At 41.3% G+C, this 22,311-nt stretch overlaps 1 protein-coding gene and 2 pseudogenes across 3 annotated transcripts in view; 1 reads left to right on the forward strand and 2 right to left on the reverse strand.

Moving 5' to 3' along the window:
- PHKB (phosphorylase kinase regulatory subunit beta) overlaps nt 1–22,311 on the forward strand; it is a 240,225-nt gene that overhangs the window by 90,867 nt on the left and 127,047 nt on the right. The window lies entirely within an intron of this gene.
- Nucleotides 9,226–10,401, reverse strand: LOC100420642 (Rho GTPase activating protein 20 pseudogene; annotated as a pseudogene).
- Nucleotides 12,811–14,789, reverse strand: EIF4BP5 (eukaryotic translation initiation factor 4B pseudogene 5; annotated as a pseudogene).

A 22,311-nucleotide genomic window follows, 5' to 3' on the forward strand; every position in this document is an offset into this window, starting at 1 on the left:
CAGTTTTCCAGTCTCTGTTTTTTAACTGGGGCATTTAGCCCATTTACATTTAAGGTTAATATTGGTATTTCAGAATTGGATCCTGTCATTATGATGTTAGCTGGTTGTTTTGCCCGTTACTTCATGCAGTTTCTTCATAGTGTCGATGGTCTTTACCATTTGGCATGTTTTTGCAGTGGCTGGTATTGGTTTTTCCTTTCCATATGTAGTGCTTCCTTCAGGAGCTCTTGTAAGGCAGGCCTGGTGGTGACAAAATCTCTCAGAATTTGCTCGTCTGTAAAGGATTTTATTTCTCCTTTGCTTATGAAGCTTAGTTTGGCTGGATATGAAATTCTGGGTTTAAAATTCTTTTCTTTAAGAATGTTGAGGCCGTGGTGGCTCACACCTGTAATCCCAGCACTTTGGGAAGTCAAGTCAGGTGGATCACAAGGTCAGGAGTTCGAGACCAGCCTGGCCAAGATGGTGATACCTTGTCTCTACTAAAAATACAAAAATTAGCCGAGTGTGGTGGCGGGTGCCTGTAATCCCAGCAATTCGGGAGGCTGAGGCAGAGAATTGCTTGAACCCATTGAAATCAAGAGGCAGAGTTTGTGGTGAGCCAAGATTGTGTCACTGTGACAAAGACCCCATCTCAAACACACACACACACACACACACACACACACACCAAAAAACAAAGAATGTTGAATATTGATCCCCACTCTCTCCTGGCATGTAGGGTTTCTGCAGAGAGATCTGCTGTTAGTCTGATGGGCTTCCCTTTGTGGGTAACCCAACCTTTCTCTCTGGCTGCCCTTAACATTTTTTCCTTCATTTCAACCTTGGTGAGTCTGACAATTATGTGTCTTGGGGTTGTTCTTCTCAAGGAGTATCTTTGTGGTGTTCTCTGTATTTCCTGAATTTGAATTTGTTCAGTCTTGCTAGGTTGGGGAAGTTCTCCTGGATAATATCTCGAAGAGTGTTTTCCAGCCTGGTTCCATTCTCCCCATTACTTTCAGGTACACCAACCAAACATAGGTTTGGTCTTTCCACATAGTCCCATATTTTTTGGAAGCTTTGTTCATTCCTTTTCATTATTTTTTCTCTAATCTTGTCTTCTCGCTTTATTTCATTAAGTTGATCTTCAATCTCTGATATCCTTTCTTCCGCTTGATCGATTCGGCTCTTGATAACGTGTGTATGTGTCATGAAGTTCTCGTACTGTGTTTTTCAGTTTCGTCAGGTCATTTATGTTCTTCTCTAAGCTGGTTATTCTAGTTAGCAATTCATCTAACCTGTTTTCAAAGTTGTTAGCTTCCTTGCATTTGGTTAGAACATAGTCCTTTAGCTCAGAGGAGCTTGTTATTACCCACCTTCTGAAGCCTACTTCTGTCAGTTCATCAAACATTCTCCATCCAGTTTTGTTCCCTTGCTGGCAAGGACTTGTGATCCTTTGGAGGAGAAGAGGCTAATGGTTTTTGGAAGTTTCAGCGTTTTTGCACTGGTTTCTCCCCCTGTTCGTCGATTTATCTACCTTTAGTCTTTTATGTTGGTGACCTTCAGATGGGGTCTCTGAGTGGACATCCTTTTTGTTAAGATATTGATGCTATTCCTTTCTGTTTATTAGTTTTGCTTCTAACAGTCAGGGCCCTCTGCCACAGGTCTGCTGGACTTTGCTGGAGGTCCACTCCAGACCCTGTTTGCCTGGGTATCACCAGCGGAGGCAGCAGAACGTCAAAGATTGCCACCTGTTTCTTCCTCTGGAAGGTTTGTCCCAGAGGGGCACCCGCCAGATGCCAGCTGGATCTCTCCTGTATGAGATATCTGTCGGCCCCTGCTGGGAAATGTCTCCCAGTCAGGAGACACAGGTGTCAGGAACCCACCTGAGGAGGCAGTCTGACCCTTAGCAGACTTGAGGTCCACTGCTCTCTTCACAGCTTGCAAGAAGGGACGTTTAAGTCTGCTGAAGCTGCGCCCACAGCTGCCCCTTCCCTCTGTCCCAGGGAGATGGAAGTTTTATGTATAAGCCCCTGACTGTGGCTGCTGCCTTTTTTTCAGAGATGCCCTACCCAGAGAGGAGGAATCTAGAGAGGCAGTCTGGCTACAGCAGCTTTGCTGAGCTGTGGTGGACTCTGCCCAGTTGGAACTTCCCCATGACTTTGTTTACACTGTGAGGGGAAAACTACCTACTCAAGCCTCAGTAATGGTGTACGCCCCTTTCCCCACCAAGCTGGAGTGTCCCAGGTCAACTTCAGACTGCTGTGCTGGCAACGAGAATTTCAAGCCAGTGGATCTTAGCTTGCTGGGCTCTATGGGGGTGGGATCTGCTGAGCTAGACCACTTGGTGCCCTGGCTTCAGCCCCCTTTCCAGGGGAGTGAACGGTTCTGTCTCCGCGGAGTTCCAGGTGCCACTGGTGTATGAAAAAAATCTCCTGCAGCTAGCTCGGTGTCTTCCCAAATGGCCACCCAGTTTTGTGCTTGAAACCCAGGGCCCTGGTGGTGTAGGCACCTAAGGGAATCTCCTGGTCTGTGTGTTGCAAAGACTATGGGAAAAGTGTAGTATCTGGGCCAGATTGTATCGTTCCTCGCAGCATAGTCCCTCACCGCTTCCTTTGGCTAGGGGAGGGAGTTCCCTGAAGCCTTGCATTTCCTGGGAGAGGCGACGCCCCACCCTGCTTCAGCTCGCTCTCTGTGGGCTGCACCCACTATCTAACCAGTCCCAGTGAGATGAGCTGGATACCTCAGTTGGAAATGCAGAAATCACCCGCCTTCTGCATTGGTCTTGCTGGGAGCTGCAGACCAGAGCTGTTCCTATTTGGCCATCTTGCCAGACTCCTGACTTTTAGCTTTTTAAAGTGGTTTTATGTTCTATTCTCTTCGCTTTTCTAATAAAGAAAGCCATCACTAAAATATCAGATAAATAACAATCATAGCACCACTTTACTCAGTTTAAGAGGCTTTCAGTGACCCTTTTATTCCATATGGTGCTTATTACTTAAGGTAACTACTTAGTCTTCTTAAGTCATTTTTGATATTTTCTTCATCGAACTATGATAGAAGCTACTGTCCAACCATTCTGCTTCATTTTATGTATCTTTGCCATACTGAACAATTCACTTGTATTTTTTGAAACCATAGTACTGTGAAGTCCTTGTTCTTCTAGGAAATGTGATTGGTAGCTCAGGGATTTAAAACAGTGTTAATGAACAGAAGATTGTGAATTTAGTTCTCATGCCTGCCAGTTACTTTTGTGAATTCCATGGTAGGTGTGAAATTAAATAGATAGACCTATCTTTTCCATAAAAGCTTTGATTTATGCAACAAATCACTATCTCCCAAACAAATGTTGCTTTATTTTAGCTCTCTTCAGTGAATATTAGAATAAAGATGTTAAGGTACCATCTTGCAATAATCAAATCAGTCAATGTTCTATTGATATTAGTCATCTGCTATTAATATGTTCAATAGCTTATAATAGAATAATTTAGTTTCTTGAGAGTGTCTTGTACCATTAAAATATTTTGAATTTCTTACAACAATATATATTGCCAACAATAGAAATTGCCATTAAAATGTAAGATCATGTTGGCTTAGGATTGACTTGGCGATGTGGGCTCGTTTTTGGTTCCATATGAACTTTAAAGTAGTTTTTTCCAATTCTGTGAAGAAAGTCGTTGGTAGCTTGATGGGGATGGCATTGAATCTATAAATTACCATGGGCAGTATGGCCATTTTCACGATATTGATTCTTCCTACCCATGAGCATGGAATGTTCTTCCATTTCTTTGTATCCTCTTTTATTTCATTGAGCAGTGGTTTGTAATTCTCCTTGAAGAGGTCCTTCATGTCCCTTGTAAGTTGGATTCCTAGGTATTTTATTCTCTTTGAAGCCATTGTGAATGGGAGTTCACTCATGATTTGGCTGTTTGTCTGTTATTGGTGTCTAAGAATGCTTGTGATTTTTGTACATTGATTTTGTATCCTGAGACTTTGCTGAAGTTGCTTATCAGCTTGAGATTTTGGGCTGAGACAATGGAGTTTTCTAGATATACAATCATGTCATCTGCAAACAGGGACAGTTTGATTTCCTCTTTTCCTAATTGAATGCCCTTTATTTCCTTCTCCTGCCTAATTGCCCTGGCCAGAACTTTTAACACTATGTTGAATAGGAGTGGTGAGAGAGGGCATCCCTGTCTTGTGCCCATATTCAAAGGGAATGCTTCCAGTTTTTGCCCATTCAGTATGATATTGGCTGTGGGTTTGTCATAGATAGCTCTTATTATTTTGAGATATGTCTCATCAATACCTAATTTATTGAGAGTTTTTAGCATGAAGCGTTGTTGAATTTTGTCCAAGGCCTTTTCTGCATCTATTGAGATAATCATGTGGTTTTTGTCGTTGGTTCTGTTTATATGCTGGATTACATTTATTGATTTTCATATATTGAACCAGCCTTGCATCCCAGGGATGAAGCCCACTTGATCATGGTGGATAAGCTTTTTGATGTGCTGCTGGATTCGGTTTGCCAGTATTTCATTGAGGATTTTTGCATCAATGTTCATCAAGGATATTGGTCTAAAATTCTCTTTTTTGGTTGTGTCTCTGCCAGGCTTTGGTATCAGGATGATGCTGGCCTCATAAAGTGAGTTAGGGAGGATTCCCTCTTTTTCTATTGATTGGAATAGCTTCAGAAGGAATGGTACCAGCTCCTCCTTGTACCTCAGGTAGAATTCGGCTGTGAATCCATCTGGTCCTGGACTCTTTTTGGTTGGCAAGCTATTGATTATTGCCACAATTTCAGATCCTGTTATTGGTCTATTCAGAGATGCAACTTCTTCGTGGTTTAGTCTTGGGAGGGTGTATGTGTCAAGGAATTTATCCATTTCAGAAATATAGATCAATGGAACAGAACAGAGCCCTCAGAAATAATGCCGCGTATCTACAACTACTTGATCTTTGACAAACCTGAGAAAAACAAGCAATGGGGAAAGGATTCCCTATTTAATAAATGGTGCTGGGAAAACTGGCTAGCCATATGTAGAAATCTGAAACTGGATCCCTTCCTTACACCTTATACAAAAATTAATTCAAGATGGATTAAAGACTTACACGTTAGACCTAAAGCCATAAAAACCCTAGAAGAAAACCTAGGCATTACCATTCAGGACATAGGCATGGGCAAGGACTTCATGTCTAAAACACCAAAAGCAATGGCAACAAAAGCCAAAATTGACAAATGGGACCTAATTAAACTAAAGAGCTTCTGCACAGCAAAAGAAACTACCACCAGAGTGAACAGGCAGCCTACAAAATGGGAGAAAATTTTCGCAACCTACTCATCTGACAAAGGGCTAATATCCAGAATCTACAATGAACTCAAACAAATTGACAAGAAAAAAACAAACAACCCCATCAAAAAGTGGGCAAAGGACATGAACAGACACTTCTCAAAAGAAGACATTTATGCAGCCAAAAAGCACATGAAAAAATGCTCACCATCACTGGCCATCAGAGAAATGCAAATCAAAACCACAGTGAGATACCATCTCACACCAGTTAGAATGGCGATCATTAAAAAGTCAGGAAACAACAGGTGCTGGAGAGGATGTGGAGAAATAGGAACACTTTTACACTGTTGGTGAGACTGTAAACTAGTTCAACCATTGTGGAAGTCAGTGTGGCGATTCCTCAGGGATCTAGAACTAGAAATACCATTTGACCCAGCCATCCCATTACTGGGTATATTCCCAAGGAATTATAAATCATGCTGCTATAAAGACACATGCACACATATGTTTATTGCGGTACTATTCACAATAGCAAAGACTTGGAACCAACCCAAATGTCCAACAATGATAGACTGGATTAAGAAAATGTGGCACATATACACCATGGAATACTATGCAGCCATAAAAAATGATGAGTTCATGTCCTTTGTAGGGACATGGATGAAATTGGAAATCATCATTCTCAGTAAACTATCGCAAGGACAAAAAACCAAACACTGCATGTTCTCACTCATAGGTGGGACTTGAACAATGAGAACACATGGACACAGGAAGGGGAACATCACTCTGGGGACTGTTGTGGGGTCGGGGGAGGGGGGAGGGATAGCATTAGGAGATATATCTAATGCTAAATGACGAGTTAATGGGTGCAGCACACCAGCATGGCACAGGTATACATATGTAACTAACCTGCACGTTGTGCACATGTACCCTAAAACTTAAAGTATAATAATAATAAAATAAAAATAAATTTAAAAAAATGTGAGGTCATGTTATGATTGTGTTTGGGTTTCTAAATAGCTTGCTGTTGCCAGAGATTTGAATAACTAGTGGATAATAAATTAACATATTTGTGAATTTTACTCTAGTTCAGATACAGTATTTGTTTCTGTCTTTTGTTTGTTTTTGTTGTTTTGAGACAGAGTCTCACTCTGTTGCTCTGGCTGGAGTGCAGTGGTGCGATCTTGGCTCACTGCAACCTCTGCTCTTGGGTTCAAGCAAGTCTCCTGCCTCAGCCTCTCTAGTAGCTGGGATTACAGGCATGTGCTACCAAGCCTGGAGAATATTTGTATTTGTAGTAGAGACAGGGTTTCGCCATGTTGGCCAGGCTGGTCTTGAGCCCCTGACCTCAAGTGGTCTTGCCCACCTTGGCCTCCCAAAGTGCTGGGATTACAGGCATGAGCCACTGTGCCCAGCCTTGTTTCTTTTAAAATGCCACATTTAGATGACAATTTCCAAATTCATCCCATAGCTGTTTTTTTATACCATTAAAGACAGAACCTTGGACTGGCTACATTGTGTTTCTAAGTACTGAATTTCATATGTGTTCGCCTTTTGAATAAGTTATTTTCTCTTTACATTTCAAAATACTGTAAATATTTAATAAAATATGTACCTCACACTGTAGGAGGAAGTTTTATGGTATTACTGGGTTAACTGAATGTAAGTTTTTATGCATTGGGGCCTAAGGGAGCTCCTGGGTCATCGGGAACACATTCTTAAGGAAGAAAGCAAGTTAACAATGAATGTTTTTACACAAACAGTCCAAATATACAACCCCAAGGGGCTTTTCTAACCCTTAGGGTCTAAGGCTCTAAAATTCTTGTTCCAGTACTACCGTAATTTGGTTACTATTTTACAGTATTCAAAATTGTAATTGGCCTAATTGTTCTGGGTACATGGTAGAGTTAGCAAACTGACTTAAGCTTTTTTCCAGTTACCTATTGTTGCAAATAAACCCAAACTTAGAGGCATAAAAACAACAACAATCTTTTATTATTATTGTCTTACATTATTATTTATTATTAAGATGGTAGACTGGGTTAAGCTAGGCAGTTTTTGCTCAGGGTCTCTAATGTGTTTGTCATCATTGTGACTGGGGCTGGGCTTATCTTGAAGGCTTTGTCACTCAGGTATCTGAGTGTTGACTAAGACCTTGGCAGGACCTGTCCACTGGAAGGCCTATGTGAAGTTTTTCCATATAGGCTTCCTAACAGCATGGTGGCTGGGCTCCAAGGCCCAGAATCCCAGGCAGAGAGTTAGGTGGGAGCTGTTTTCCTGTCTATGACCTAGACTCAGAAGTCATGCAGTGTAAACTCCACCACATCCTATTTGTTAGAGTCACTAAGGCCAGCCCATAGTCTAGCAGGGGATATTAGACTCCATCTCTTGATGGGGAGGAGTGTCAAAGAATTTCAGATGTGCTTTAAACCACCACGGGTCCTTCACTTGGATTTTACTCCTTTAGGTTCCAGCCCTTGTTATTTCTCTCCAAAAAAAACTTTGGACCTGCAAAGAGCCTGCTGCCATTAGTGTGCTAACAGTACCATATGAATTGTCATGAAATTTGTTTAACCTGTGGAAGCAAGTACTTCCTTCACTGGCAGGGAACCTTCACTAGCAGTGATATGCTAGGCTGCAGATTAGATTCATTAGGATAGTATCTTAAATCCAGATTATTGGCTCAATTATTCTTGAAAAATCAGGGTAAATTGGTCAGCATAGATTCTAGTAGGGTACAAAGTTTTCACCAAAGAGCAGAAGTAAGAGTGGATTTTAAAGCCGCTCTGGGCTTGTTCCCTCATCTTAAAAGTAGAGGAGATTAACAAAAGAAGTGTAAGACTTGTATAGGTTCTTGTACTTGTATATTGAAAACTGCAAAGAAATGTTGAGAGATATTAAAGGAGACCTAAATAAATGGAAAGACATCCTATGTTTATGTAATCTATGTAAAAAATCCAACTATCTTTGTTGCAGAAATTGACGAGCTGATTATAAAATGCACAGGAAAGGTTAGGGAACCAGGCTAGCCAAAACAACCTCGAAAAAGAACAGAACTGGACTCACACTTTTCAATTTCAAAACTTACTGCAAAGCTACAATAATTAAAATAGTGTGGTTCTGGCATAAGGACAAGGAGATCGGTGAAACAGAATTAAGAGTACAGAAATAAACCCACACATCTGTAATCAATCGATTTTCATGAATGTGCAAAGACAATTCAGGGGGAAAGGATAGTTTTCAACAAATAGTGCTGGGACAGCTGGATGTCCACATACAGAGGAATGAATCTGGACCCCTATTTCACACCATATACAAAAATTAATATGAAAGAGATCAAAGACCTATACCTATATGTAAGAGTTAAAAGTATAGAATTCTTTTTTACTCCAAAAATTTATATATTTATTTTATATCAATTGAAAAGTAATAATATGTTATGATAGGGATGGAAAGATAGAAGATATATTTTGTGGGAAGATTTTTGCAAATATGTATATATGGTATAAGGAAAAGGAAAATGGGATGACCTGGGATGTTGGAAGGTGCTCATTCGGTGTTCAACTAAAAACAAGTGATTTAAAAACATGATCCATGGTGGTTGTCTTAGTTTAAGGTGCCACATGTTCATTCTTTTGCCAAGAAATTTACTTATTTTTGGAAAGAACCTGAGGATTTAATCCAAATTCAGCAAAATTCTGCAAACATTTTGGGAAAATTGTTCTCAGTGGAATACTTTAGGAAATGAAAGAAAAGGAAGAGTCAAATGTGACTATGGAGATTTGAATCTTCAGTAACTTAAAAAACAGTGGGCAGGTAGCTGGGTGGACCCATTCCAGATGGGCCTGGGCATCATTGTACAGTTGTGATTTTCTTGTAAACCACCATGACTCTCACTGGCTTGGATTAAAGAGGTTGCTCTGTTTTCACTAAAGCCTTCTGGCTATTATCACAACTCTGAGTTCTTCCCAAAGAGGAAAGTGATGTCTTTTCCAAATATCATGAGGCGGTTTTCAATGAGAAATTGTACAAGAGAAACCTTTTTTGTGAATTCTCTTTTTTAAAGTCAGAGTCATCACACTGGACTTTTTGTGAATGCATTTTCTAGTTTTGAGCTGCAGGAAGTGGACAGCTGAAGAATGCTTGGGGCTATACATGTTGATAAATTATAAGCTTTTATCTGATTGGATGAGGAATATTCAGTGTGTACACTCCAAAAAGGTATCTCAAGAGAACAACATTGGCAGCTGGTCTAAAAGCCTCTGGATAGCAATTATTTTCTCCTCTTCATTCCCTTGATGAATACACCAAGCCATTCATCATAGAGACTGGATGAAAATATACTTCCTTGGATATTCTTTCATTTAAGAATGATGTTTCCAGAAGAATGGACTCAAATTGTCCAAGTTCACTTTATCTGCAGAATTTAGTTTCTCCTTTAGGGCTCGATATGATTTTATATTTGCCAATTTTCTGAAGATACCTTCTGTTGAGTGGCCCTTTTTGGTTGCTTTTTAAAAAGGCATATCCAGAGAGGGGTGGGTATGTTGTCATTCTCACAAACATCTGTGAGAGAAGCTCCAAAGAGCTGGCCTAGCTTTAAGGCTGGTAGAGTCATGCATAGGTTGTCCTGGCAAGTGTTAGACCCCTGCCAAAAGAAGGGCTCCTGAAAGATGGAAGGAGAGATGGAGTTCACTGTCCCTGTGGCAGGAGCATAATGGCTTGAGGATGGCTCATTTTAATTCTGTAAGAATGCTTGTGCCCAATGAGTGGACATGGGGCCTTTTTCATGCCAGAAGTGACCCACAGCTGGTAATCTTCAGAGCCCAAAATGTGGCCACGAAGTTCGCCATGGGCCAGCCCAAGAGAAGGGACCTCCCAGTAGAGATGTGGCCATTCCCCACTTTGTCCACATAGCTAGCTGTCCACAGGTTGTTCAGCACTATTTTATTTTTTATCTTAAAGGATTTCCTGCACTTGGTAGACAAAAGCAACAAATTGCTGAACAAAAAGAGATGCAGCTTCTGCCTCCTCCAGCCTCTGTTGAGTTGAGAATCAGCAGGGTAAGATCAGCACCCTCCAGTGATGTGGTTTTGTCATTGTGGGTGTCCATCTTGGAAAAAGGACTTTCCCTTAGTTAAAAATACATTATTGCTTAAACATGCTAACAGTCATCTGAACCTTCAGTGAGTTGTAAACTTCTTGCTGATGGAAGGTCTTGCCTCAGTCTTGATGGCTGCTGACTGATCAGGCTGATGGTTGCTGAAGATTGGAATGGCTGTGACACTTTCTCAAAATAAGACAACAATGAAGTTTGCCACATTGAAGGACTCTTCCTTTCACAATAGATTTCTCTGTAACACATGATGCTGTTTGATAGCATTATACCCACATTAGAACTTTTCTCAAAATCAGAGTCAGTCCTCCCAAACCCTGCCACTGCTTTATCAGCTAAGTATGTGAAGCATTCTAAATCCTTTGTTGTCAACTCAATAATATTCACAGCTGTTTACCAGGGGTAAATTTCATCTCAAGAACCACTTTCTTTGCTCATCCATAAGAATCAATTCCTCATCCATTCAAGTTTTATCTTGAGTTTACAGGAATTTAGTCTCATTTTATGGTCCACTTCTAATTCTAGTTCTTTTGCTATTTCCACCACATCTGCTCACTCTTCTTCCATTGAAGTCTTGAACTCCTCACGCTTATCCATGACATTTGGAATCAGCTTCTTCCAAACTCCTGTTAGTATTGACATTTTGACTTCCTCTCATGAATCTTGAATGTTCTTAGTGGCATCTAGAATGGCGAGTCCTTCCCTGATTTTCAGTTTACTTTGCTCAAATCCATCAGAGGAATCACTATCTATGGCAGCTGTTGCCTTGCAAGACATTTCTTAAATAATAAAACTTGAAAGTAAAATTAATCCTTGATCCATGGAACTGCAGAATGAATGTTGTGTTAGTAGAAATGAAAACATTAATCTCCTTGTGCATCTCCATTAGAGCTCTTGGATAACCAGGTATATTGTCAATAAGTAGTAATATTTTCAAGGGAATCATTTTTTTCTGAGCATCAGGTCTTACCAGTGGGCTTAAAATATTCAGGAAACCATGCTGTAAAAAGATGTGCTGTCATTCAGACTTTGTTGTTCCATTTCTAGAGCATAGAGTAGGTTTAACATTCTTTCTTAATATTTGAACCCTACTTTCTTTTTTTCTTTTTCCTTTTAAAATTGTATTTCTATTTAGGGATACAAATGGTTTTTGGTTACATGGATGAATTTTATACTGAGGAAGTCTGGGCGTTAAGGGTACCCATCACCCAAATAATGTACATTGTACTCAGTATGTAATTATTTATCCCTCAGCCCCCTCTCACCCTCCAGTCTTCTGAGCCTCCAGTGTCCCCTATACCATTCTGTATGCCTTTGTGTACCCTTCATTTAGCTCCCACTTGCAAGGGAGAAGATGTGGCATTTGGTTTTTCATTCCTGAGATACTTCACCTAGGATAAGGCCCCCAATTGCATCCAGATTGCTGCAAAAGACATTATTTCATTCTTTTTTTTTTTTTTTTTTTTGGCTGAGTAGCAATCCATGGTGTGTGTGTGTTTGTCACATTTTTTTTTAATCCACTTATGGGTTGATAGGCACTTAAGTTGATTCTATGTCTTTATAATTTTGAATTATGCTGTGATAAATATACACATGCAGGTATCTTTTTTATATAATGACTTTTTTTCCTTTGGTAGATACCCAGTAGTGGGATTGCTGGATTGAATGGTAGATCTACTTTTAGTTCTTGGAGAAATTTCCATACTGTCTTTCATAAATATCGTACTAACTTTCATTCCCATCAATAGTGTATAAGTGTTCCCGTTTCACTGCATCCACACCAACATCTGTTGTTTTTTGACTTTTTAATAATGGTAATTCTGGCTGGAGTAAGGAGGTATCTCACTGTGGTTTTAATATGCATTTCCCTGATGATTACTGACATTAGTGGCATTTTTTTCATGTTGGTTGGCCATTTGTGTATCTTTTGAGAAATGTCTGCTCTTGTCGTTTGCCCACTTTTTAATGGGATTTTTTCCTTTCTTGCTGATTTGCTTGAGTTCCTTATGGACTCTGTAGATACCCTGTAGTGGGATTGCTGGATCCATTGGTGGTTTAGTTACATGTCATTTACAGGTTTTTGTTACATTTGCTTTTGGGGTCTTAGTCATAAGTTCTTTGCCTAGGCCAATGTCCAGAAGAGTTTTTCCAGGTTTTCTTCTAGAATTTTTATGATTTCAGGTTTTAGACTTATGTCTTTAATCCATCTTGAGTTAATTTTTGTATATAGTGAAAGATAGGAATCCATTTTCATTCTTTGCATGTTGTTGTTCAATTTTCCCAGCACCATTTATTGAATGGAGTATTCTTTCCCCAGTGTGTGTTTTTATGTGCTTTGCTAAAGATGAGTTGGTTTTAGGTATTTGGCTTATTTCTGGGCTGTTTATTCTGTTCCATTGGTCTGTGTGTCTTTTTTTTTTTTTCCCCCAGGAGATGGTGAGTTTTATTTTGTCTTGTCTGGATAGAGGTTTGATTTGCTCTCTAATGTTCCAGGGTGCAGAGAAAGTAGGAGAAAGCACAGGATGTTGAGGTCTATTTGGTGTAATCTTCTCCCTCGTTTTCATTTTCACCATCAACGGAGACAGCAGCATACTTGCTTGCAGAACTGAACTTGGAAGCTAGATTTTCCTTGGGTTTATATGGCTCAGGTGCAGATCTGGACTCTTGATCCTTTTTGCCATCTTTCCTATCTGACTCCGTTCAGTGGTCTTTGTTCCCTCTGTCTCCTGGACCATGGCTAGAGTTCCCAGTTTGGTCTTTGGGGACATTCATCCCATCTACTTTATTTTCATCTTTTCTTGCTGTTCCTTCCTCAGATGGTTGAGCTGGAGCTACTTTTCCCCCACCACTTGTAGGGATTGCTGCTCTGTATCTGAGCTCTGTGATAGAGCAGGAGGGTTAGAACTTCACTTCACCCAAGCATTCTCCTTTGGTGGAGGGGCTGGCATTACCTTTAGGGGCTGATCAGGTTTGGGAGTTTTAGAAGTTGGAGAGTGACAGTCTTCCTCCTTATTGAGTGTTTCATTTTCTAAAGACTTCTCACTCTCCCTCGTGCATTTCTGCCGGATGTGGCAGAGGTCCCGGTCTGTGATGACTCACTTCCTGTCCTCGACCATCCCTGTTCCTGAGTTTCTTCACTTTGCCAGTTTGGGTGTCTCTCCCGAGGCCATCGTTCTAGTTTTGGCTCATCCAGCTGATGCTGCAACTTCTCTTGTTCCTTCTGTAGCTGTTCTACTTCTCTTTCTCTAGCAGCTGTGTCAATGGGCTTTGTCCCTCCAAAGACAGAAGCAGCTTGACTGGACTGGGAGGTACTAGCAGAGGAATTATCTTCCTTAGGAGTACTCTGAGGCTTTAGATTCAGTTTGGGTCTTTGTGGGGGACCTCTATCATCACGCCTATAATCATCCCAAGAGTAATCATCTCTGGAGCTCTATGACCGATCATCCCGTCTGTTGGATCAGTCTTCATCACAGTCCTCACCTCCTCTGTAGTCATCATCCCTGTGGTACCCACTGCCAAATGCTTTTTTGCCATTGCCTATCTGGGAATCATAGCCTCTATCATAATCTCTGCTGCCTTGGTCATCATAGCGATCCCAGTCGCCGTATCAATCCATATCCCTGCATGGGCCATCCCAATACTCATCACAATACCAATCTGAATCATAACGATCTCGATACTTGTCTCCAAAGCTATCATCACCTCTTCTAGGTGAGTAGTCATCAAAGCTGTCTGTGGCAGGACGAGCCCTTCAGTCTGTATCTGTTTTGTCATAATCCCCATTTCTATCACAGCCAGAAGAATGATCATTCCTGTCTTTATCCTGTGCTTGATCAGCAACGTCCACTCAAATTCTCCTGTTACCTAGAGACTCTTCATTGAGACTCAGGGCACTGAGCAGGGAATCCAGGTCCTCAAATTCAGCATAACCAAAACCTTTCAACTTCTCTGGATTGCTGGGTTCACGTGGTAAAAGCACTGCACTGATATTTAGTCCTCTAAAGAATTCTTTAATGTACTCTTCTGTCACATCATAGGGTAGGTTCCCTAGAAAAGCAATGTAGGGTGACAATTTGGGAAGATGGCTCCAGTCGATATTGGGTTCCCAAGCAGCCCCTGGAGCAGTGGGAAGGATGGAACGGTCAATTGGAGGTGCCCTATACACATCTTCATCATTACTGTTCCAAGTTGTTGAAATATCTCCTTCCAGGTCATCTGTTTCATGAGCCCAGCTGACTGGTTTGGAAACATAAGTGCTTCCTCCACCAGTCCCTCCATCCTCAGCCAGAGAGTCTGTTAGGGAGAGAGTCTTCCCCTTCTTATTCTTCTTTTTTGCTTAGTTCTTGAAGGTCAATAATGGGTCACACTGGAAACTGGTATTGTTGAGGCTGCCATGTTGGGAGAGGCTTTGTGTGTCTATTTTTGTACTGTTTTAGTTACTATAGCCTTGTAGTATAATTTTAAGTCAGGTAATGTGATATCTCCAGATTTCTTCTTTTTGCTTTGGATTACTTTGACTATTCAGGATGGTTTTTGGTTGCATATGAACCTTAGGATTGTTTTTTTCTAAATCTGTGAAAAAATGACCTTAGTATTTTGATAGGAGTTGCATTGAATCTATAGATTGCTTTGGGCAGTATTGTCAGTTTCACAATATTGATTCTTCCAATCCCTGAGCATGGCATGTTTTTCCATTTGTGTCATCTTTGATTTCTTTCGTCACTGTTTTGTAGTTCTTTTTTTTTTCTTCGCAACTATTGTAAATGGGATTGAGTTATTGATTTGATTCTCAGCTTGTTCGTTATTGATACATAGCAGTGCTATGGATTTGTGTACTTTGATTTTGTAACCTGAGACATTACTGAATTTATAAAATCTGGGAGTCTTTTAGAGGAGTCTTTAGAGTTTTCTAGGTGTAAAATCAGAGATATAAAAAGAGATAGTTTGACTTCCTCTTTTTCAATTTACATGCCCTTTATTTCTGTCTTTTGCCTGATTGCTCTGGCTAGGACTTCCAGTGCTATGTTGAATAGAAGTGATGAAAGCAGGCATTCTTGTCTTGTTCTAGTTCTTAGGCGGAAAGGCTTTCACCTTCTCCCTATTCAATATGATGTTGGCTGTGGATTTGTCTTATTTTGGCTTTTGTAATTTTAAGGTATATTTCTTCTATGCCTAGTTTGTTCAAGGTTTTTATCATGAAGGGATGCTGGATTTTATCGAATGCTTTTTCCGCATCTTTTAAAATAATCGTATGGTTTCTGTTTTTTATTCTGTTTATGTGATGAATCAATTTATTGACTTGCATTTGTTGAACCATCCTTGTATCCCTGGGATGAAGCCCAGTTGATCAGGTTGAATTATCTTTTCAACGCGCTGTTGGATTCAGTTTGCTAGTATTTTATTGAGGCTTTTTGCATCTGTATTTATTAGGAATTTTGGTCTGTATTTCTTTATTGTTGTTGTTATGTCCTTTCCTTGCTTTGGTATCAGGGTGATACCGACTTTGTAGAATGAGTGAGGGAATCCTGCTCTGTCTTTTGGAATAGTTTTACTAGGATTGGTACCAGTTATTTGAAATGTCTGGTAGAATTCAGCTGTGAATATGTCTGATCCTAGTCTTTATCTTGTTGGGAGATGTTTTGTTACTGATTGAATCTCACTCCTTGTTACTGATCAGCTCAAGATTTCTTTATCTTTTTGATTCAAGCTTAGGAGGTTGTGTGTTTCTAGGAATCTATCCATTTCCTGTAGATTTTCTAGCTTGTGCACATAGAAGTGTTCATAGTAGTCTTGCATGATCTTTTGTATTTCTGCAGTATCAGTTATAATGTCTGCATTTTCATTTCTGATTCAGTTTGTTTGAATCTTCTCTCTTCTTTTCTTGATTAGCTAGTGGTCTGTCATTTTTGTTTATGTTTTCAAAGAACCAACCTGTTGTTTCATTGATCTTTTGTATTGTCTTTTGGTTTCAATTTCATTTAGTTCTACTCTGATCTCTCTTGTTTTTCTTCTGCTAGCTTTGGGTTTGGTTTGTTGTTTCTCTGGTTTCTTGAGGTGTGACATTATGTTGCCAGTCTTTGATCTTTCTGTCTTTTTGATGTAGGCATTTAGCATTATAAACTTTTCTCATAGCGCTGCTTTTGCTGTATCCCAGGAATTTGGGTAACTTGTGTCACTGTTATTATTCATTTCAAAATTTTTTAAAATTTCATCTTGATTATATTGTTGACTCAAAAATCATTCAGGAGCATATGGTTTAATTTTCATGTATTTGTGTAGTTTTGAGAGTTCCCCTTAGAATTAATTTCTAGTTTTGTTCTGCTGTAGTCTAAGAAGATACTTGGTATGATTTTGATTTTTTAAATTTATTGCGATTTGTGTTGTGTCCTGTTATATGGTCTATCTTGGAAAATGTTCCATGTGCTGATGAGAATGTATACCCTGCAGTTTTCAGGTAGAATGTTCTGTGAATGTCTGTTAGGTCCATTTGTTTTAGAGTCCAGTTTATGTCCAGTGTTTCTTTGTTGACATTCTACCTCAGTGATCTATGTAGTGCTGTCAATGAAGTGTTGAAGTCTCCTACTATTATTGTCTTGCTGTCTACCTCTCTTCTTAGGTCTAGCAGAATTTGTTTGATGACTATGGGTGCTCCAGTGTTAGCTGCATATGTATTTAGAATTATTATATCTTCTTGTTGAATTGTTCTGTTATAATATAATGACTTTCTTTGTCTTTTTATTTAAAGTCTGTTTTTTCTCATATAAAATAGCTACTCCTGCTCTCTTTTGGTGTCCATTCATGTGTAATATATTTTTTTCCATATCTTTCCTTGACTCTACAAGAATCTTTCTATGGGTTAGGTGGGTCTCTTGAAGGCAGCAGATGTTTGGTCTGTGTTTTTTAAAATCCATTCTGCCAATCTGTATCTTTTAAGTGGGGCATTACACCATTTACATTCGAAAATAGTATTGATATGGAGCTACTCTTGCAGTCATCATATTGATTGTTACCTAGTTGCTTTGTTTTCTTTACTGTGTTATTGTTATAAGCCCTTTCATTTATGTATGTGTCTATATATGTATTTATTTGTTGGGATGGAGTCACTCTGTCACCCAGGCTGGAGTGCAGTGGCATGATCTTGGCTCACTACAAACTCTGCCCTCCCAGGCTTAAGCGATCCTCCTACCTCAGCCTCCCCAGTAGCTGGGACTTACAGGTGCACGCCACCACGCCTGGCTAATTTTTGTATTTTTAGTAAAGACGATGTTTCACCCATGTTGACCAGGCTGGTCTTGAACTTCTGACCTCAAGTGATCCACCTGCCTCGGCCTCCCAAAGTGCTGGTATTACAGGCATGAGCCACCATGCCTGGCCTAGCCCTTTCATTTAGATGTTTAGAACTCCATTGAGCATTTCTTATAGAGCTGGCCTACTGGTGACGGATTCCCTCAGCATTTGCTTTTCTTTGAAAGTCTTTATTTTGCCTTCATTTCTTAAACTTAGTTTTGCTCTGTGCAGAATTCTTGTCTGACAGCTCTTCTGTTTGAGGAGACTAAAGATAGGACCTGAATCCCTTCTGCCTTACAAGATTTCAGCTGAGAAGTTAGTCTGATAGTTTTTCCTTTATCATTTATTTGATGCTTTTATCTCACTGCCCTTAGAATTCTTGCCTTTGCATTGGCTTTAGATAGCCTGATGACCATATGCCTTGGTGATCTCCTTTTTTCAATGAATCTCCCAGGAGTTTTTTGAGCTTCTGGTATTTGGATGTCTAAATCTCTAGCAAGATTAGGAAAGTTTTTGTCAGTTATTCCTTGAAGTAGGTTTTCTAAACTTTTTGCTTTTTCTTCTCCCTGAGGAACAACTTTGATTCTTAGATTTGGATGTTTTACATGGTCCCGTATTTCTTGGAGATTTTATTTGTTTCTTTGTATTCTTTTTCCTTAATTTTTGTCTGACTGGTTTAATTTGAAAGCCTTGCCTTCAGACTCTGAAATTCTTTCTTCTACTTGATCCAGTCTGTTGTTAAAAATTTCCACTGCATTTTGTAACTCCCTAAATGAGTCCTTCATTTCCAGAAGTTCTGTTTTTTTTTTAATATCGACCTCTCTAGAAAATTTCATTCATATCCTGTATTTTTTTTTTATTTCTTTATATTGGTTTTCAACTTTCTCTTGGATCTCATTGAGTAACTTTATAATGAATATTTTGACTTCTTTATCTGGTATTTCAAAGATTTAATTTTGTTTTGGATCCATTGCTGGAGAGTTAGTATGTATTGGGGAGGGGGTAGTATTGTAAATAAAACTGTTTTTTCATATTGCCAGAATTATTTTTCTGGTTTCTTCCCATCTGGATAAACTATTTTTTATTATTATTATTGAATTTACTTTTGATTTGACTGGGTTCTTTTTTTTTCCCCCGTTAAGGATGTGACTTTAATGTGTATCATTTGTAATCACCTAGCTTCAGCTCTGGGTGCTTTCAGTGGCAAAGTCTCTGTTGAGTTTCTTGGTTATAGAGAATCTGTGTGTGATGGCTTTCTCAGGTGCTGGTTTTAGTAGTAGTGTACTTAGTGTGTGGGAAGGTTCACTGTCTCCTGTGGGGCCAGAGTGGCAGAGATCTCAGGAAGCTTATCTTGTTCCCCAGTAGTGTGTACTACTCTCCTCCCCAAGTCTTTTTTTCACTAGGGTAGAATACTTCAGCCTTTAGGCCAGTAGGAGGCACCCATGGGTGAAAACCAGCTGCAGCTGAAGCAGGTGGTGGGTATATGCAGTACCCCAGTGGTGGACAAAAGTCTCAACCTTGACAGAGGCAGCTGGGGGCAGGGAGCTCCCAGTGAAATGCACTGAGGTCTTCACTGTGGGAGGGGAGGGAGCCACCTCAGCTTCACTACCAGGCCAGCAGGAAAGCAACCTCCCTGTCGTTCCCCCTCATCCCTATATTCTGGACATTTAGATCAGACAAGCACCTCTGTCCATCTGCAGGAACACTGACATTCCATATCCAGAGACAGTGGGACTCTATCTCTCATGAAAGCCTGAGCCCAGAGGGCACTCCTCCCAAGGCGATGCAGTCACCCCAAAGTGCTTGAGAAAGGTCCTCCATAGGTCTACTCTCACTGAGCTCCTGTGGGAGAAGGCCCAGCTGTATCTGCGTTGTTGAACAAGAGGGAGAGAAGCCCCTTCACAAGTACCGGGGCTCCTCCACTGCTAGAGTAGAACCTTAGTCTTTCCCCACGGAGCCCAGTACTGCACCTGTTCCTCTGCTGAAAGAAACTTCCCATAGGCAGGAAGTTGTGGTACTCAAGGTTCATACTTTGGTTTCTTTTGTCCCAAGGGGTGTTCCCTTTGTGTGGTGCACTCCCCATTCCCATGGGAATGGTGATCTATGCGGGCCAGACTACTGTGAATCCAGCTGCTTATCTGGGTTTAGCCACCTCAGGGACTGCCACAATCCAGGCCTGTGCTGGAGAATCTTGGCAAGGGATATAGTCATGGGGAAGACACAAGGGCTGAAGGTCCTCAAGCAAAACAAATGATCCACAATGGGTGCACACCCAGTATGTTGCCTGCTACTACAGCTCAGGACCAGAGGGAAAGGGAGGGGACTTTGTGTGAGCAAGGACCCAAGAAGTCCCCAGATTGCAGCCCACTCCAGCATTTGGACTCATGAGGGCAGCGAAGCTCTCCTTGAGTTTGGATACCAGCAGTCAAAGGCTAGAGAATACCCTTTCCACAGAATACTTGAGTCTCTCAGGGTTTGATACTCTTCCAGCTTCTTGTTACTTTCTCTTATGTGCATGTTGTGGATTCTTCCAGTGAATTCTCCGATGGACTCCAGCCCTCTCCCTGTAACACTCTATTTGGGATGTGACTATTTATTTATGATTTTGTTTCTTTCTTCTGAGGTGAATTGGTTACTAGCATCTATAGTCAACCATCTGGAGAAGCTCTGGAGAAGCTCTTTAGTGCTTCAGGCTATGGACAGGTCTGCGGAATGTGTAATGGTTTGGTCCCTACTCTTAGCTCCAGAGATGGGTGATGTTGGGTGGAGCTGGGCAAGGCTGACCTGTCCTCTCATCTCATAAGGGCAGGTTCAAGCACCAACTCTGATGGTGGCAGTAGGGGAGTGGCATAGACTCTGTAAGATTTCCTTGGTTATAAGTAGCCTTAGTGCAGTGGCTTTCTCAATTGTCAGATGTAGTAGTAATGTACTGGGTACATGAACAGGCCCAAGGCCTCCTGAGCAGCCTGATTGGTGTGAGTAATAGTGTTAGCTGAGGTCATGCAAAAGTTTTCTCCTTCCTGAGCACCGTGTTATGATGTTAGCAGACATTGTAGAGGGCTGTGTCAGTTGACCTCCAACTACAATTTAGGGACTTGTTGAGGCCATTATCTTGCTCATACAAGGTCCTTTCCCTTTCTGCCTGGTCCTAAGCTGTAGGAGTGGGCACCATACTGGATGCGTACCCATTGCAGAAGTTTGTTCTGCTCAAGTACCTTCAACCCTTGTGTCTTCTCATCACTAGATCCCTTGTAAACAGCCCCCAATACCAGACTGGCTTGAGACAGCTGCACAGGATAGACAAATTCAGAGGAGCAGTAGGATTCACAGTGAAGTGGCACTAGCAGGAGAGAGCCAGCTACAGTGGTGGCCTTGGGGATTTATACTTGGCTTATGTTACCCTGGGGAAACACTCATATCCCAGGCAATGGGCAGGGTCATGGAACTCCCTAAAGTCCCTGTCTGTGGTGTTAGGCTAGGGGCATAGCCTGTGGGGCCTGGATCAGGCAAGTCCTCACTCTGGCTCACCAGGTGTGGACTCAGGCTGTGACCCCAGTGGCGATCCGAGGGCAGTTCCCTGGCCACTGGGGTAATGTTCCACGGAGGAGCGGAACTGCCTCTGTTGCATAAAAGAATCCTCAGGGAGGGGAGAGGGGTAACAGGCAGCAGTGAGACCCACCCAGCTCTCACTTTCTTAACACATTGGGTCTCACACTCACAGACTTCTGGCAACAGCTGGGTCCCAGGCAGTCTGCCCTCAGCATGCAAAACTGCCCCTGGTTGTAAGTCCTTCTGCCCAAGACAAAGACCAAGGCTTCCAGGCCACACCCCTCCCAGTTTGCCTGCAAAGCAGGGGCTCCCAGCACCTGCCTCTGTGGCAAAAGCCTGCTTCCTGCTCACCTCTCATTTCTGATCAATGGGGTTTATACCCACAGTAGATTAGATTGCTTATTTTAGTTGGCAGCTTCTTCCAACCTGTGACCACTGTCTGAGTTAGCTGGCAGAATTCTGTGAGGTCCCTTATGAAGTAGGATCAGCAATGGCTTCCCTCCATCCCTGCTAGGGTGTGGGAGTGCACGCAAAACAATTTTTTTTTCTTTTATATGTGAAGTCTTGCTCTGTTGCCCAAGCTGGATTGCAGTGGTGCGATCTTGGCTCACTGCAACCTCCACCTCCCGGGTCCAAGCGATTCTCCTGTCTCAGCCTCCTGAGTAGCTGAGATTACAGGCATGCACCGCCACACCCAGCTAATTTTTGTATTTTTAGTAGAGACAGGGTTTCGCCATGTTGACCAGGCTGGTCTTGAACTCTTGACCTCAGGTGACCCACCCGTTTCAGCCTCCCAAAGTTCTGGGATTACAGGCATGAGCCATCACTTCTCATATGCTCCTTGTGGCTCACCAAATCAGCACCAGTGCTTGGTAGGGTTGAGACATTCCCCTGTGGCCTGGATTGCCCAGTTCCCCAGTGTCAATGTGTAATCATGGAGGCAGTCTCCCCGCTTTCACACCCTGGAGACATATTTTCACCTGACTCACCATGTAGGTTGCCACCCACAGCTTTCAAAGTGTCTGAAGTTTCTTTCATTTTTTCTGTTGAGTTACTGTGTTTCTTCTTGGATAAAAGTTTACAGCATAAATC

Source organism: Homo sapiens, chromosome 16 (assembly GCF_000001405.40).
Source record: "Homo sapiens chromosome 16, GRCh38.p14 Primary Assembly".
In the NCBI taxonomy this organism is placed as follows: Eukaryota; Metazoa; Chordata; class Mammalia; order Primates; family Hominidae; genus Homo; species Homo sapiens.